Raw genomic sequence first — 18,388 nt, forward strand, 5'->3', positions numbered from 1 at the left:
TTTTAGAATGACCTAGCTATCTGATATATAGGTAGGAAACCAAGAGTTAGTAAATGGACCATATGTTTATAAGCAGAGTATGTTTCCCATGGAAAAAAAATACAGATTTCTCTGTGAAGCTGAAGTAGCCTGTTCTCACTCTAACCTAGTTATTAGAGTCCAACCATATTCTTCTTAGGATTTCCTAAGTACCTAGAATGGTGTTCTACATATAGTAAATTATCAATATAAAAGAATAAAATTTTTACTTTTTGTAGTCATATTATGTGTGTATGTATATATATACATATATTTGATTCAATTTAAAGTATCCCAGTGGATTTTGTCTAAAAACACAAAGAATAGGATATGAAGTTTATAATCTACTGACAGTCCCAAATATACTATTTTACTTGCTTTAATCACCAACACCAACCTTTGAACATAGTGGGCAGTCAATAAATATCTGGAGGATGAGGGTATGAATACATGTATTTGCCAGACTATAACCCCTGATGAAGGAAAGGGATTGGCCGATTCTTTATTGTGGCTCCCTACACCAAACATTCTGAGCTAGCATACCCACAATGAAAGAACATCATCTGAATGAAGCTTCACAATTGCTCTCTCATTACCACTGGGCTTCTGGCATCCAGCACACCTTGGAGTCCTAGTGTTAAGGAATGTATTCTGAGCCTCTGCCGGCACAGGCATGTCACAGTGATGCTTCTAAAACAAACCAGAGCTCAGGTTTGTTTCAAGTCTTCACATGCTTTTGATGGAAGGTGTGCTGGCAGCTGTTGTCATCATTAGCCTTGTGGCAATACTTTTTCCTTTAGTGTCTTATGTTTCATATGAAAGCTTAAAGCTCATTAAATAGGGAGGAACTTTGGAATATGTGCCAATGCCAAACAGTAAAGTTTTTATTTTCTCCTGTTATAACAGCTTTAAAGTTCTGAATTTCCAAATCTTAGTCCCCAACACCATTCCAAATTTTAAATTCGATAATGGGGTAGGAGCAGAAGGATACCAATTCCTTTTCCTGACTTTACAATCTTTACCAGAGATCTAGTAAGTGAAAGATTTAGAGCCTGCTAGAAAACTTGGGTGTGGAATTCTCCTGTAATCCTGGCATTTATGGGATGAGTGAGCTGTCCATCCATGGTTCTGTAATCTAGACAGTTGAGATATCTGAATCTGAATGCTCAACCTAGTACAGTCTTCCATGGTATTCACATTTTTCTAGCAGCTGACCTAAGTGATACATTTTAAAACGCACAATAACTAATGGTCACTAAGCACCTACTTACTATGTGCCAGGCAATATCAAAAAGCACTTCAAATGTTAAAATGCTCACAAACGCTCTCAGATAAATATTTATCTCCATTTTACAGATAAGAAAACCTAGGATTAAAGAGGTAAGTAACTTGCCCAAGTTTTTATTCACTATAAGGAGACTTTTTAAAAAGGTTAATTAGTACTACTTAATATTATAGGTATCTTCTAAGGCAAGAACTATTATCTATTTCATCTTTGTATCCTCCACCATATCTAGAGCAAAACCTTACACATACAAACTTCTTAATAAAGGTTTACTGAGCAGGCCAGTGTGTTGGCTCATGCCTGTAATCCCAGCGTTTTGGGAGGCCAAGGCAGGAGGATCACTTGAGGCCAGGAGATTGACACCAGATTTTGAGGTTACACTGAGCTAGCCTGGGTAACAGAGCAAGAAAACGAAAGGCCCCATAGTTGTGGAGTACTATATATTTATTATGTATATTTCTTTCTCTCTCTTTCCCTCTCTCTGTTTTAAATTTTTTCATATTAGAAAATAAGTTTAAGTTCTAGAGCCTTCCAAGTCATTCATACACACACATACACCCACTCATTTGCCAAATTTACTTGGGTCCCTCTGAAACCACAAGTAGCAGCTGCTTAATAGGTGAACTTCAACACCAAGCAACAGGTTGGGGCAGGTAATTAAGAATACCAAATCCATTTGAAATTGCAGGGGAAATTTAGGGAAGTAGAACGTATTTATCAGAGTTGGAATTTGGCCAGGATTCTAAAGAAAACACCAATTACCCTTTGATAATATAAAATAGCATATAAACACTGTTTAACTGAATTTCTGACTAAGGTTAAGAATTCCAGAGACTCACAGAAGGGACACATCATTCCTGGACAAATTCTTCCATTGAGAAAGTTCTTTATACTTCCATAGTAACCCCCTTGCCTCTCACAAAGAAAACCTCTTGTTGTCAGGTTAGTAATGAAAGTGAATTCTAATAAACAGAGCTGGAGCAAATAAGAGGTCTTTCTAGCACTACTAGCTATTGTGCACCTTAGATTTAGATATCTCCCTTCCACAAAGTATCACAACCTCACATATCTCAATGTAGAAGACACTTCAAGAGAGCCGATTTCATCAGAATGGCAACTTTCTCAGACAGCTCCTCTCTGCCCAAGATAATTTAGGTGTGATCATGCTTGACATGAAGTATGAATTCGGTAACTTTCTAAGGTCTCTAACCACCTTCAAGTTAGGAATTCTATTAAGGGACCTAACCAAAACAAGATAAAAAAGAGAGGGGTCTATAGATTTAAGAGATATAGTGACTAAGTACAACATGTGGACTGTGTTTGAAACCTATAATTGAAGAAATTGAACACAGATGGAATACTTGATATATTTTTAATTTTCTATTAATTTTAAGTATAATTGCAACGATTATATTTTGAAGATATACACACTGAAGTATTCGTAAATGAAATTCTGTAATACCTAGTATTAGCTTCAATATGAAAAAAGATAGGAAGAAGTTAGTGGGTAGATGTCCATGTGTTGATAATTACTGAAGCCCAGTGATGGGTACTTGGGAGTTCACTACACTATTTTCCATAGGTTGTGGCATAGGTGAAATAGATCATTGTTCAAGTGCAATTTCTGTTAACACAATTTTCTCTCTTTTAGCAAATGAAAGCATCTAAGAATGCAAATAAATGACAGTGATTTTTTATAGCAATAATCTTGAATTTCCACTATTTCATAAAATAAGTAAACTTTCTAAAACTTAATATTCTAAAACATTAACCCTCATACAATTGTTTAGTTTTTGTTTAAAATTTTCCATTAAAATAACTTTAAAAAAGATATCCTGTACCCATTTTCACCACTCCTATTTAACATAGTACTGAAAGTCCTAGCCAGAGCAATAATACAAGAGAAAGAAATAAAAGGCATCCACACTGGAAAAGAGGAAGTCAAATTGTCCCTCTTTGCTAATAATATGATCTTATACCAAGAAAAAAACTAAAGACTCCACCAAAAAACTCTTATATTTGATCAATGTGTTCATTCAATTTGCAGGATACAAAATCAACATACAAAAATGAGTAGCAGTCGGGCGCGGTGGCTCATGCCTGTAATCCCAGCACTTTGGGAGGCCAAGGTGGGCGGATCACCTGAGGTCAGGAGTTCAAGACCAGCCTGGCCAACAAGGTTAAACCCTGTCTCTACTAAAAATAAAAAATTAGCTAGGTGTGGTGGCGGGCGTCTGTAGTTCCAGCTACTTGGGAGGCTGAGGCAAGAGAATCACTTGAACCCCAGAGGCAGAAGTTGCAGTGAGCCAAGATCGCACCACTGCACTCCAGCCTGGGTGACAGAGTGAGACTCCGTCTCAAACACACACACACACACACACACACACACACACACATCAGTAGCATTTCTATACACCAATAATGATCTAGCCAAAAAAGAAATCAAGAAGGAAATCCTATTTACAATAGCTACAAATGAATAAAATACCTAGGAATAAATTTAACCAAGAGGTGAAAGATATCTACAAGGAAAACTACAAAACATAAATGAAGGAAGTCGAAGAAGACACAAACAAATGAAAAAACCTCCCATGCTCATAGATCGAAAGAATTAACAGTGTTAAAAAGACCATATTGCCCAAAGCAATCTAAAGATTCAATGCAGTCCCTATCAAAATACCAATGTCCTTCTTCATGGAATTAGAAAAAAAAAATCCTAAATGTATGTGGAACTAGAAAAGAACTGATTAGCCAAAAGAACTGATTATCCAAATCAATCCTGAGCAAACAGAACAAATCTGGAGGCATCACACTACCTGACTTCAAATATAAGACTAGAGTAACCAAAACAGCATGGTCTGGTTATAAAAGTAGATGCATAGGCCAATGGAACAGAATAGAGAACCCAGAAGTAAAACTACATATTTACAGCCAACTGATCTTTGACAAAGCCAACAAGAATTTACACTGGGGAAAGGATACCCTCTTCAGTAAGTGCTGCCACAAACCCACATGCAGAAGAATGAAACTGGACCCCATCTTTCACCATACAAAATCTATTCAAAAATTTATACATACTATATATAAAAATCAACTCGAAATGGATTTAAGACTTAAACATAAGACCCAAAGCTATAAAAATACAAGAAGAAAACCTACAGAAAACTCTCCTGGATACTGGGCTAGGCAAAGAATTTATGACTAAGACTTCAAAAGCACAGGAAACAAAAACAAAAATAGATAAATGGGTCTTAATTAAACTAAAAAGTTTCTGCACAGCAAAGGAAACAATCGACAGAGCAAAGAGGTAACCTGTTGAATGGGAGAAAATATTTGCAAGTTATTCAACAACATTGGTCTAAGCTGACACATCCAGAATATACAAGGAACTCAAACATCTCGAGAGAAAAAAAATCATCCCATTAAAAAGTGGACGAAGGACATGATAGCTATTTCTCAAAAGAAGACATACAAATGGCTAATGGGCATCTGAAAAAATGCTCAGCATCACTAATTATCAGAGAAATGCAAATCAAATTACAAGGAGGTATCATCTTACTCCAGTCAGAATGGCCATTATTAAAAAGAAAAAATAACAGATGTTGATGAGGATGCAAGGGAACTCTTATATGTGGCTGGTGGAAATGTAAACTAGTATAGCCATTATGGAAAACAGTGTGGAGATTTCTCAAAAACCTAAAGCTAGAATTGCCATATGACCTAGCAATCCCACTACTGGCTATCCATCTAAAGGAAAAGAAATCAATATATCAAAGGGATACTTGCACTCTCATGTTTACTGCAGCACTATTCACAGTAGCAAAGATATGGAATCAACCTAAATGTCCATCAACAGATGAATGGATAAGGAAAATATGGTATATATACACAGTGCAATACTATTTGGCCATAAAAGGTAATGAAATCATGTCATTTACAGCAACATGGATGTAACTGGAGGTCATTACGTTAAATGAAATAAGCGAGGCACAAAAAGACAAATATTGCATGTTCTCACATATGTGGGAGCTAAAATTACATGGAGATAGAGAGCGGAAAGATAGACAACAGAGACTGGGAAGGATGAGATAGGGGGATGAGGGAGATGAAGAGAAGTGGGTTAAAGGACACAGCCATACAGTAAGATAGAAGAAATATATTCAATGTTTGATAGCAGGGCAGGGTGACTATACTTAACAAAAACGTATTCTATTCAAGTGATAGACACCCTAAAAATCCTGCCTTGATCACTACACATTAAATACATGTAACAAAATTCACATGTACCCATAAACTTGCACAAACAAAACATAAATGAAACAAAAATAACTCCTAAATCAAACAAATCCCATTATTTTTCTAAACTTCAAGTTGAGTTGAACCCAATTAATAACGTTTTATTGACCAATACATGAAGCCAAAGCACTTTTTGGGGGTTTTTTTAGTACTTTTAATTTTAAATGTGCAATAAATTCACTCATGCTTTTTGTAAACATTTGAATGGTATTTACAAAATTTCGACATGCTTCCATTAACATGCTAAAATATATTGTGCATACCAGAAAGGTACGATACGGTTTCTGCCTTCAAGAACTTACAGCCAAATTTGAAAACTAGATTTAGGTAGGATATACAACATTAGGAAAGTTTTAACATCTATAAATTAATATACACAGTTATTCAAACCACAGTTCGTTTTAAAAAATCAAAACAAAACTAAACCCAACTAATTTATCATTCAATCCAAATTCCTACATCTATTTGCTTAGTTTATAATTATTTTGTATTACTGCTTTTTAATTTGTTAGACTTTATTTTTTAGAGCAGTTTTTCTTCACAACAAAATTGAGCAGAAGGAACACAGATTTGTTATATACCACTTCTTCCACCAGAGTGGTACATTTGTTACAATTGATGAACCTACAATGACATATCCTTGTCACCCAAAGTCCGTAATTTACGTCTGGGTTCACTCTTGGTGTTGTGCATTCTATGGGTTTGAAAAATGTACAATGACATGTATCCACCATTACAGTATAATATAGAGTAGTTTCACTGTCCTATATAAGTCTTCTGTGTTCTACCTATTCATCCGCCTCTTCCCCCAATCCCTGGCAACCATTGATCTTTTTACTGTCTCCATAGTTTTAGTCTTTTCCAGAATGTCTTATAGTGAAAATCATACAGTATGTAGCCTTTTCAGATAGGCTTCTTTCACTTAGTTATACACATTTTAGGTTCCTCCATGCCATTCATGGCTTGATAACTCATTTCTTTTTAGCACTGAGTAATATTCCATTGTCTGGATATACCATAGTTAATTCATCCATTTACCTATTGAAGGACATCTTAGTTGCTTCCAAGTTTTGGCAATTATGAATAAAGCTGTTATAATAAACATCTGCATGCCAGTTTTTGTGTGGCATGTTTTCACCTCACTTGGGTAAATACAAAGGAGCATGACTGTTGGATTGTATGGTAAGACTACGTTTACTTGTGTAAGAAACTGCCAAACTGTCTTCCAAAGTGGCTGTAACCCTTTTGCATTCCCAGGAGCAATGAATAAGAAATCTTATTCCGTCACATCCTTACCAGTATTTGATGTTGTTAGTGTTCTGGATCTGGGCTATTCTAAGATTCGTGTAATGGTATTTTACTGTTGTTTTAATTTGCATTTCCCTGAGGATAAAAGGTGGATCATATTTTCATGCTTATTTACATCATATGCATATTTGGTGAGGTGACTGTTAAGGTCTTTGGGTCATTTTTTAAAATCAGTTTGGTTTTTCTTATTGTTCAGTTTTAAAAGTCCTGTGCAAGTTTTGGATAAGAGTCCTTTATCAGATATGTCTTTTGCAAAAATTTTTCCCCAGTCTGTGCCTGTCGTTTTATTCTGTTGAAGGTATCTCTCTCCTAGCAGAAATTTTTCATTTTAATAAAGTCTAGTCAATTATTTATTTCATGGACCATCCTGTTGGTGCCATTAATGTCATATCTAAAAAGTCATCACCAAACCCAGGTCATACAGATTATCTTCTAGGAGCTTTATAGTTTCCCATTTCACTTTGTCTATGATCCATTTTGAGTTAATTTTTGTGAGGGGTATAGGATTGTGTCTGGATTCTCCTTTTTTTTTTTTTTTTTTTTTTTTTGCATGTAGATGTCCAGTTGCTCCAACACCATTTGCTGAAAAGACTATCTTTTCATGGTCAAACCACCTTTACTCCTTTGTCAAAGATCAGTCAACTATATTTATGTGGGTCAATTTCTGGTTTCTCTATTCTGTTCCATTGCTGTATTTGTCTATTCTTTTGCTAATTTGTCCATTCTGTCTTGATTACTGTAACTTCATAGCAAGTTTTGGTCAGGTAGTGTCAGCCCTCCAACTTTGATCTTCTCCTTCAATGTTATGTTGGCTATTATGAGTCTTGTCTCTCCAAATAAAGTTAGAATCAGTTTGATAACATCCACAAAATAACTTTCTGGGATTTTGATTGGGATTGAATTCAATCTGTATATCAAATTGAGAAAAACTGATGTCTTCACAACATTGAATCTTCTATACATGAGCATGGAATATCTTTCCATTTATTTAGTTCTTTGATTTTTTTCAGAGTTTTATAGTTCTCCTCATATCTTATACCTATTTTGTTAGATTTATACCTAAGTATTTTTTGGAGGTGCTAATATAAATGGTATTATGTTTTTAATTTCAAATTCCATTTGTTCATTGCTGGAAAGTGATTAACTTTTGTATATTAGCCTTGTGTCCTGCAACCTTTCTGTAATCTCTTATTAGTTCCAGGATTTTTTGTCAATTCTTTTGAATTATCTACATAGAAATTTATATCGTATGCCAAAAAGACAGTTTTATTTCTTCCTTTTCAATCATTACACATTTTCCTTCTTTTTCTTGTCTTATTGTACTACCTATGACTTCCAGAATGACACTGAAAAGCAGTGGTTAAGAGGGAACATCCTTATCTTGTTCATAGTCCTAGTGGAAAACCTAGTTTCTCACTATTAAGTATGTTAACTGTAGGTTTTTTGCAGATATTCTTGTATCAAGTTGAAGTAGTTCACCTCTATTCCTAGTTGACTGAGAATTTTTATCATGATTGATTCTTGCATTTTATCATATACTTTTTCTGCATCTATCAAGATGATCATGTGATTTTTCTTCTTTAGCTATTGATGTGACGAATGACATTACAGCAATAGTCCCCCTGCCTTATTCAAGGGGCACACATTCCAAGACCCTCCAGTAGATGCTTGAAATTTTGAATAGTACCCAACCTTCTTGCTGTCAATTGGAACACATTTCTGTACATGTCTTCTGCTCACACACTTAATGTCTTTTCCATCTTATCTAGTGTTTATCATACACTGTGGCAATAACTTTTGCTGTTGAGATATGAGAGCAAAACTAGCACGTTTATTTTTCCTTCTTCACAATCTCCTGGTTAGAAGATTCATTCTTACCATAGTTCTTAGCAACCTCAGCATACTTTTTTTTTCTTTCCTTATTAAGTCAAGAACGTTTACTTCTTCACTTCAACAAAGCACTCTACAGCAACTCTTTGGTGTATCCAAATTACCAGCATCACTACTCTTGTACTTTGGGGTCATTATTAAGTAAAATAAGGATTAATTGAACAAAAACACTGTGATATCTTATATCTGATATCACAATCTGATAACTGAGATGGCTACTAAGTGGATAATGGGCGGGTAGCATATACAGCATGAATATATTGAACAAAGGGATGATTCATGTTCCAGGTGGGATACAGCAGAACAGTGTGAGATTTCTTCCTGCTACTCAGAATAGCACTCAATTTAAGATTTATGAGTTATTTCTGGAATTTTCCACGTAATATTTTCTAACCAGGGTTGAGCACAGGTAAGTGAAACTGAAGAAAGTGAAACTGAATTGTAGGAGGGTGCCGGGAGAGACTACTGTGATTGATTTTTGAATGTTGTACCTGCCTTTTACACCTGAGATAAATCTCACTTGGTCATGTTGTATAATTCTTTTTATACATTATTGGATCCAATTAATTTTGTTTTAGAATCTATTGCTGCCTAAAGTCCTTTAAGCATATGTTGCAGGGAGATTGTGAATTGACCCCAGGTTATCCCTGCCTCCTACTGTTTATGCTTGTATAATCCCCTCTGCTTGAATGTGGACTTCTAGCCAATAAAATAAGACAATGATAATGAAATTTCCTGTCACTCCTGTGATTATGTTAATGTTACATTCCACACTATCGTGCTAGCAGACTTACTCCACAGACTCTTCTTATTGACTTTATGAATTAAACAGCCATGCTGGGAAAGCCTGCACAGTAAGATTGATCAATGCGTTCATTCAAGTTGCAGGATACAAAATCAACATACAAAAATGAGTAGCGGTCGGGCGCGGTGGCTCACGCCTGTAATCCCAGCACTTTGGGAGGCCGAGGTGGGCGGATCACCTGAGGTCAGGAGTTCGAGACCAGCCTGGCCAACAAGGTTAAACCCTGTCTCTACTAAAAATAAAAAATTAGCCAGGTGTGGTGGCACGCACCTGTAGGACTATGGACAGCCTGAGGACCTACAGGCAGCTGCTAAGAGCTGAGGCTGACTTCCAATTGACATCACACAAGAAGCCAGGGCCCTCAGCCCTACAGTCACAAAGAAATTCATGCAGTTAACAACTTGAGTGAGCTTGGAAACAGATTATTCCCCAGTCAAACCTACAGACAAAACTGCAACCCAGCCAACATTTTGATTATAACCTTGTGAAACCCTAAGCAGAGGATCCAGCTAAGCCATTCCCAGATTCCTGATACACAGAAACTGTGAGATAACAAATGTGTGTTATTTTAAGTCAATGCATTTTTGGTAATTTGTTATAGAGCAATAGAAAAGTAATAAAAAAGAAATGTTTAAGTCGTAATATGTAAGAGTTCTATTGAATCCTACAATAGTACTAGATCTTTGTTTGTTTGTTTAAAAAGCAAAACTTTGCCTGGCTAAAGTCAACATGTCTTTTAAAAAGACTTCTATGCCACCCTGGGAAGAATAATTTTTCAGATTTAGTCAGATTTTTAAGAGGACACATTAATTCCAGAGGAAATAATCCAGGAAAATTGGCATGTGCCATATCAGAGTAGATAGGAAAATGAACAGTTATCTCCATTAATCTTCAAATTTCAAAGCAAGTTTGCATCCTGGGATACTTGGTCACTAGATATTATCCTTTTTATGTATCGTTGGAATTGATTTGCTAAAGTTTTAAGAATTTTTTCATCTATGTCTATGATAGATATTGCTCTATGGCTTTCTTGTAATGTCTTTGTGTGGTTTTGGTATCAGGACAATGTTGTTCTCACAGAATTAATTGAAACATATATCCTCTGCTTCAATTTTCTGAAAAACTCCATGTACAACTAGTATTATTTCTTCCTCAAATGTTTCATAAAATTCATCAAAGCCTACAGGAGTATTCAGGTTATCTATTTCTTCTTGAGTGAGCTTTGGTAGTTTGTCTTTCAAAGAGTTTATCCATCTCATCTATGTTTTCAAATTTATTACCATAAAGTTTGTCATAATATTCCCTTATTATATCTATCTATGTACCTATTCTTAATATCTGTGGAATCTGTACTTGTCATCTCTATCATTATGGGTATTGGCAATTCGTGTTTTCTTTTTTCCTCATCAGTTTGACTAGAGATTTATCAATTTTATTGATTTTCTCTAAGAATCTGGTGTGGTTTCATTTATTTTTCTCTTTTTGTTTATTTTCCATTTAATAGACTTTGCTCTTACCATTTTTTCCTTTTTCTGATTAGTTTTAATTTGCTTTTTTTTCCATTTTTATAAAAGAGAAGCTGAGGTCACTCATTTAAGATCTTCTTTATAGCATTTAGTGCTATAATTTCCCTCTAAGCACTGCTTTGACAGCATCCCACAAATTTCAATATGTTGTGCATTCATTTTTATTCAGTTCAAGTACGTTATTTCCTTTTTTGTTTCTCTTTTTTTTTTTTTTTTTTTTTTTGGCCCATAGGTCATTTAGAAGTAATTTAATTTCCAAATACTTAGAATTTTCCTGATAGCTCTTTTACTGAATTCTAATTCCACTGTTGACTGAAAACATACATTTTATGATTTGAGTCTTTTTAAATTTATTGAGACTTATTTAACAGCCCATAATCTGATCAATGTAGGCAAATGTTGTGTATGCTTAAAGAGAATCTGTATCCTGCTGTTGTTGAGTCTAATATTATATAAACATTGTCATTATTTGATAGTGTTGTTCAAGTCTTCTATATCCTTACTGATGTTTTTCTACTTGTTCTATCAATATGGAGACAGGTTGAAATTGTGGATTTGGCTATTTTTTTCTTTCAGTTCTATCAGTTTTTGTTTTATGAATTTCTGAAGTCTATTAGGCAAAAAAGATTTAGAAATGGTATGTCCCCTTGACAAATTGACCCATTTATAGAAATGACTCTTTATCCCCAGTAATATTCTTTGCGATCTATTTTGTTTGCTATAATTATAACCACTACACCTTACTTTAGATTAGTGTTAGTATGGCATCTTTTTTCTTTCTTCCTTCTTTTCTTTCTTCCTTTCTTTCTTTTGTTCATTCTTCTTTTTTGAGACAGGATTTCACTTTATCACCCAGGCTGGAGTGTAGTGATGCAAACGTAGCTCACTGCAGCCTCAAAATCCTGGGCTCAAGCAATCCTCTCGCCTCAGCATCCTGAGTTGCTAAAACTACAGGTACAAACCACCACACCTGGCTAATTTTTGTATTAAAAAAAATGGTAGAGACAGTTTTCACTATATTGTCCAGGCTAGTCTTGAACTCCTGGCTTCAAGCCATCCTCCTGCCTTGGAGCACATTTTCATCAGTCTGTGGGTGCTCAATGGGTCCACTTTAGTGATTTAGGAGGAAGGAATGATATAACACTTTTTTTTTCCTTTAAAACACTGGTTGGGTGGTTTGCTTAGTGAGAAAACTGATATTAAGTTTGAGTGTTATAAATTTCCTTTAGTGAAGTCCAGTCAAACAGTATAGGAGAAAAGCTGTAAATGCTAAGAAAGCACTGAAAGACTTTAGCATTTAATTCTAGATGATGTATCCAAGCACCAGGATAAGGCCTCACAATTCTACCCACACATTGCAAGCATCCAATATATCTGTCCCTGCAAGCCTTGACATTCTTTTAGCCCACAGCTGCTTTGGGTAGTGAGATTTCTTGACTTGCCATGGCAAGGTTCCTTGTATTATGATATATAATGGAATGAATTATTTCAATGGATCCAATTGTATACTAATGCCATGTCTCACAAGGACTGGTCAGAGTAAAGACAGTAAGAGAGCCTGCCGTGCAAACCATAATTGAATAGAGTGTTTCTTCACCATGTTGGGAAAAGGCTGTTAATTGGCTCATGTAACCTTTTCTAAGATTTGTTCATTGGATGCCAAAAAGGAAAACAGTGACATTCTGAGTCACCCTTATGTCAGGTATTAGATATTTATTCCTTGAGGAAATAAATTTTTAACCAGAAATTACTTCCATTTTCATAACCAAGTCCCAACCCTGTAGAAAAAATTTATTCTCAAACCCAAAGTTTTTCTATTTTCATCAATAATTTTAGGTTAGGGCAAAGGACGTGAACAGCCACTTCTCAAAAGAAGACATTTATGCGGCCAAAATATATATGAAAAAAAAGCTCAATAGCACCGAGCATTAGAGAAATGCAAATCAAAACCACAGTGAGATACCATCTCATGCCAGTCAGAATGGTGATTATCAAAAAGTCAAGAAACAGATGCTGGTGAGGCTGTGGAGAAATAGGAATGCTTTTACAGTGTTGGTGTAAAATAGTTCAACCATTGTGGAAGACGGGGTGGCGATTCCTCAAAACCTAGAACCAGAAATACCATTTGACCCAGCAACCCCATTACTGAGTATATACCCAAAGGAATAGAAATCATTCTATTATAAAGATACATGCATGCATATGTTCACTGCAGCACTATTCACAATAGCAAAGACATGGAATCAACCTAAATGCCCATCAATGATAGACTGAATAAAGAAAATGTGGTACATGTACACCATGGAATACTTTGCAGCCATAAAAAAGAACCAGATCATGTCCTTTGCAGGGACATGGATGGTGCTTGAAGCCATTATCCTCAGCAAACTAATGCAGGAACAGAAAACAAACACCACATGTTCTCACTTATAAGTGAGAGCTGAACAATGAGAACACATGGACACAGGGAGGATAACAACACACATTGGGGCCTGTCAGAGGCGGAGTGGGGGAGGGAGAGCATCAAGATAATACCTAGGTGATGGGTTGGTAGGTGCAGCAAACCACCAAGGCACGTTTGCCTACGTAACAAACCTGCATGTCCTGCACATATATCCCAGAACTTAAAAGAAAAAAAAATAATTTTAGGGGCCAGGTGTGGTGGCTCATGCCTGTAATCCCAGCACTTTGGGAGGCCAAGGTGGGCGGATTATGAGGTCAGGAGTTCAAGACCAGCCTGGCCAACATAGTGAAACCCTGTCTCTACTAAAAATACAAAAAATTAGCCAGGCGTGGTGGCAGGCACCTGTAATCCCAGATACTCAGGAGGCTGAGGCAGGAGAATCGCTTGATCCCAGGAAGCGGAGGTTGCAGTGAGCGGAGATCGTGCCACTGCACTCCAGCCTGGGCGACAGTGCAAGACTCCATCTCAAAAAAAAATTTAATTAATAATAATTTTAGGTTATTCAGGGAAGATAGCCTCTGACTAACAAAGTTATTGTTTAGATGAAACTTACCTGTTGCTGAGCTACCAAGGATATCTACTATTCCTTATTTTACTCTCAAAGGAAATCTATCCAAAGAAAAGCATTTTTCGTGTGTGTCTGTAGCTTTGAGTCAGAACCTTTATGGCTTGGTTGCCTGATGAAATAGAATAGCAGTTCCTGTTAGCACCTTAACTTCTCAGTATTTTCAACATAATCCTGTTGATTTTGTATACTGGATCTTATCTGTTTCCTTATCTGTTATATTTAATTAGAAATAGTGATACAGGTAAAACTATTTTTCAGTTTTTGAGATGAACACATTTGTTTAATACAGTGAGAGCTGGAGTTTTAGAAACTTTCATCTGGAGACCAAAATGAATAAAGTAATTATTAATAGGTATGATAATACAGTCAGACTTTATTTTTGATAGTAATCATACTTAACTGGGTCATCTTGAACAAATATGAATATGGCAGAGCAAGAACCAACCACATAATCCTACGGGGCAATGCAAAGTAAAAATGTGGGGCCCACTGTTCAAAAATTGTTAAAAATTCCAAACGAATCATTAAATCAAACCATAGTCCTTTTGGGTGCAGGATCCTGGAAGCTCGCCCTGGACAAAGCAGACATACTGAGATAGAAGTCACTGTTAAGACCCCCTCATACTCTCCACTTAATTTTTTACCTATTTGGGTGATCACACACATAATTTCATGATGTCTTATTACTAGTGAGATGTTCACAGCAGTGCCAGTAAACTTAGAATCCATTGAGGAGCAACAATAGCTGTTAATAAGGAACTGCAAACCTTTCTACATGTTTTATAAATTAGATAATAATCACTTAATTATTGAGTTTAATGGCACTTTGGTTCTGATGATTTAAAACTGGTTTTAATGTTTAACCACCAAACTGTTGAACTTTTTCATGGTTCTGATTATTCCTCCACCTGAAATCAGTTAATCAATATGAAAATCAACTGTAATACCGGATGGCCAAGGGGCAGAGGTGCAATAATGGAAAGATGCTAAAGACATTTACATATTGATATCTAATGGCTGCATACAGCAAAAACACTGTAACACCTCTACAAATAACTACTATATATTGTCTGCCTATGAACCAGACACCGTGATAAGCATATTAATTCATTTAGTCCTCCTAACAATCCTATGAAGTAAATAAGGGAAAAAAGAGTATTCACGAAAGTAAAGAGTCACTTAAATAGACATTACAAAAATTGCACTGGGAACTATACCAACTATACTCAAATAGGGTCATCAAGAAGAGGTCATTAAAGGGACTATTTACAAGTGTGGGCAGATTTGAGAGAAGCTATTAAGGAAGAATGTAGCACCTGTGAGGCTAGCCACAGCAAGAGCCCCAAGAGGAGGAGAGGTTACTGTGACCTGCAAAAGCCTCCTACAGATGTGGCCTCCATTAGAGGAATGTGGCCAAATGCCAGTGACCTCATAGGGAGAGAGCTGGGAAAATAAATGCCCAGACCACATTCTCCTCCCTCCCTCAGATTTCCTATTGATGCTCCCCACTGATCAAAACCAACTAGAGGCCACAAAGGAGCTTAATTTTGTAATCTAGTGATTCTCAAAGGTTAGAATGCTTCAGAATCACTTGGCCAGTTTGTCGAAGCACAGATTCCTGGGTCCCACCCCCAGAGTTTATGATTCAAGAGGTCTGGGATGGGGCCTGAAAATGTGCACTTCCAGCAAGTCCCCAGGTGATACTGATTATCCAGGGGCCACATTTGGAAAACCATTGATTTAATTTAAAACAGGTCAGCCTCTCTAGACAGAAAGCAGGGTAGATAAGGGAGGAGTGTGCAATTGGAAGACATCCAGCACAGGAACAACAGAAGTGACATGAAAACAACAGACTTGCTTATCATCCAAACCACTGCCTCTGATGATTGCCCTTTTGTTCTTCTTTCCTCCCTTTGTGAATTCTAAAAGGTTTATTTCTTTGCCTTGGTGCAAGCAAAGAGAAGCATTAAGTATTTTCAAGATACCTCCCAAATAGCCCCTTTTAACAACTCCAAACTTCAGACAATGTCTAGTCTAAACTGCCTCTCACCAACCAGAACGGATGCCAGCAAGGAAGGTTTGACACACACAGCAGGAAAGAGCCGTGACTTTTCCTTTTACTACTATGTTCAAGAGCCTAGGATGCTTCGGAAAGGAAAATCTAGAAAACTGACAGTTTTGATGCTAAATCTATGGCAGGTGCTTATGAGTGTCTTGACTATAAAAATTAGGTTGGTTGGATCATCAATCAGGACTTGTAGTAGCTGAAATATAAGGTTGAACTGGATGGTCTCAGTTACAATGCAGTTTGCTATTACTAGTCTGTATTAATCCATTCTCACACTGCTATAAAGAACTACCTGCGACTGGGTAATTTATGAAGAAAAGAAATTTAATCGACTCACGGTTCTGCAGGCTTAACAGGAAGCATGAATGGGAGGCCTCAGGAAACTTACAATCATGGTGGAAGGCAAAGGGGAAGCAAATATCTTCTTCACGTGGCAGCAGGAGAGAGTGATAGAGCAAAGGGAAGTGCTACACACTTTTAAACAACCAGATCTCATGATAATCCACTATCACGAGAACAGCAAGTGGGGAACCCCCCCACCATGATCCAACCACCTCCCACCAGGTCCCTACCCCAACACCAAGGATTACAATTCAACATGAGATTTGGGTGGAGACACAGAGCCAAACCATATCATGGTCCTTGTTGCATTTTCATTAAAGACAATGAGATTATACTGAAAACAACTGAATCCTTCTCTTAGCAAGGCAGAAACCGAAAGTATAACTAAAAGCTAAAATGTTACCCTGCTCTGTGTAAACAGAGTAGAGCATGTCAGATTAATGAATGACCTACTTGCGAAAACGTGTAGACAAGGATTTTATCTGTGTTTGATAGTGGAAAGGTTATATCCACTTCCTGGCAGAGATCTCAGAATATCTAATTTATGTGACAAAAATGAAAAGTTCTCAAGAAATATACCAAGGCATGATTAGCCTATTTATTCCCCCAGGGGTTTAACACTAGCTTTTAGTTGTCTGCTCAATATACATAGTATTTTTGTTTATTTATTTTGTAGGATTGTGTTAACTTAAGCTTTGAAAGGTGTGCACATTTTTTATTTCCTGCCTTATCTGGGAAAAAACCTGACGAGATGTCAGAAATAGATCAGGTTTAAATTAGTTTTATTTATTTTTATTTTTATTTTTATTTTTGAGATGAAGTCTCCCTCTGTACCCCAGGCTGGAGTGCAGTAGCGCAATCTCAGCTTACTGCAGCCTCTGCCTCCCCGGTTCAAGCAAGTCTCCTGCCTCAGCCTACCAAGTAGCTGGGATTACAGGTGCCCACCACCATGCCTGGCTAATTTTTGTATTTTTAGTAGAGATGGGGTTTCACTGTGTTGGCCAGGCTGGTCTTGAACTCCTGACCTCAAGTGAGCCTCCCACCTTGGCCTCCCAAAATGCTGGGATTATAGGTGGGAGCTAAATTAGTATTTTAAATTAGAATCCTACTTGCTACATTACTAGGGAGAAGGAAGGTGATAGATGTTAACTTGTATATTCTCCATTTACTTACTGTTTACTATTTATAAGCAAATTTCTAAAGCAATAATCACCTTAGCATTTTAATTCCAAATACCAATCTAAGAATTAAACCAAATAATTATTCCACCCAGAATGTCATTAAGTTCTATTAGTCTTTTTAGTGTTCATAGTTTCATCTATGAAATTGGATTTAACACTGTGTTCTTTAAAAGTTGAATTATGATCTGGCCCAGTGTGGTGGCTCATGCCTGTAATCCCAGCACTTTAGGAGGCCAAGGTGGGTGGATCACTTGAGGTCAGGAGTACAAAAACAGCTTGGCCAACATGCTGAAAACTTGTCTCTACCAAAAGATATAAAAATTAGCCAGATGTGGTAGCATGCACCTGTAGTCCCAGCTACTCTGGAGGCTGAGGTGGGAGAATCGCTTGAATCCAGGAGGCGGAGGTTGCAGTGAGCTGAGATTATGCCACTGCACTCCAGCCTGGGGAAAAGGGCAAGATTCTGTCTCAAAAAAAAAAGTTGAATTATGATCAAAATAATGCTGTATAAAATGGAAAAAGAATGAATGTACTAATATCCACTTAAAAACACACTAAATTGGATTATTTGGCCAAATAACGGAAATTAAGTCAGTCCAAAGATGCACAATTACAAGCTGTTCTCCCCACATTTTCA

General features: G+C 36.6%; 1 long non-coding RNA gene across 1 annotated transcript in view, besides 1 other annotated feature; it reads right to left on the reverse strand.

Annotated features, from left to right (window-relative positions):
• The window catches only part of RBBP8-AS1 (RBBP8 antisense RNA 1), a 210,274-nt gene that overhangs the window by 132,902 nt on the left and 58,984 nt on the right, over positions 1 to 18,388 (reverse strand). The gene's annotated exons all lie outside the window — the stretch shown is intronic.
• Positions 16,633 to 16,752: an enhancer, noted in NCBI's record as "active region_13139". NCBI's record gives its function as "activates an Ori minimal core promoter by ATAC-STARR-seq in GM12878 lymphoblastoid cells {active_cell/tissue: GM12878}" and the evidence as "EXISTENCE:reporter gene assay evidence [ECO:0000049][PMID:35858748]".

The sequence above is a fragment of the Homo sapiens genome, chromosome 18, assembly GCF_000001405.40.
Source record: "Homo sapiens chromosome 18, GRCh38.p14 Primary Assembly".
In the NCBI taxonomy this organism is placed as follows: Eukaryota; Metazoa; Chordata; class Mammalia; order Primates; family Hominidae; genus Homo; species Homo sapiens.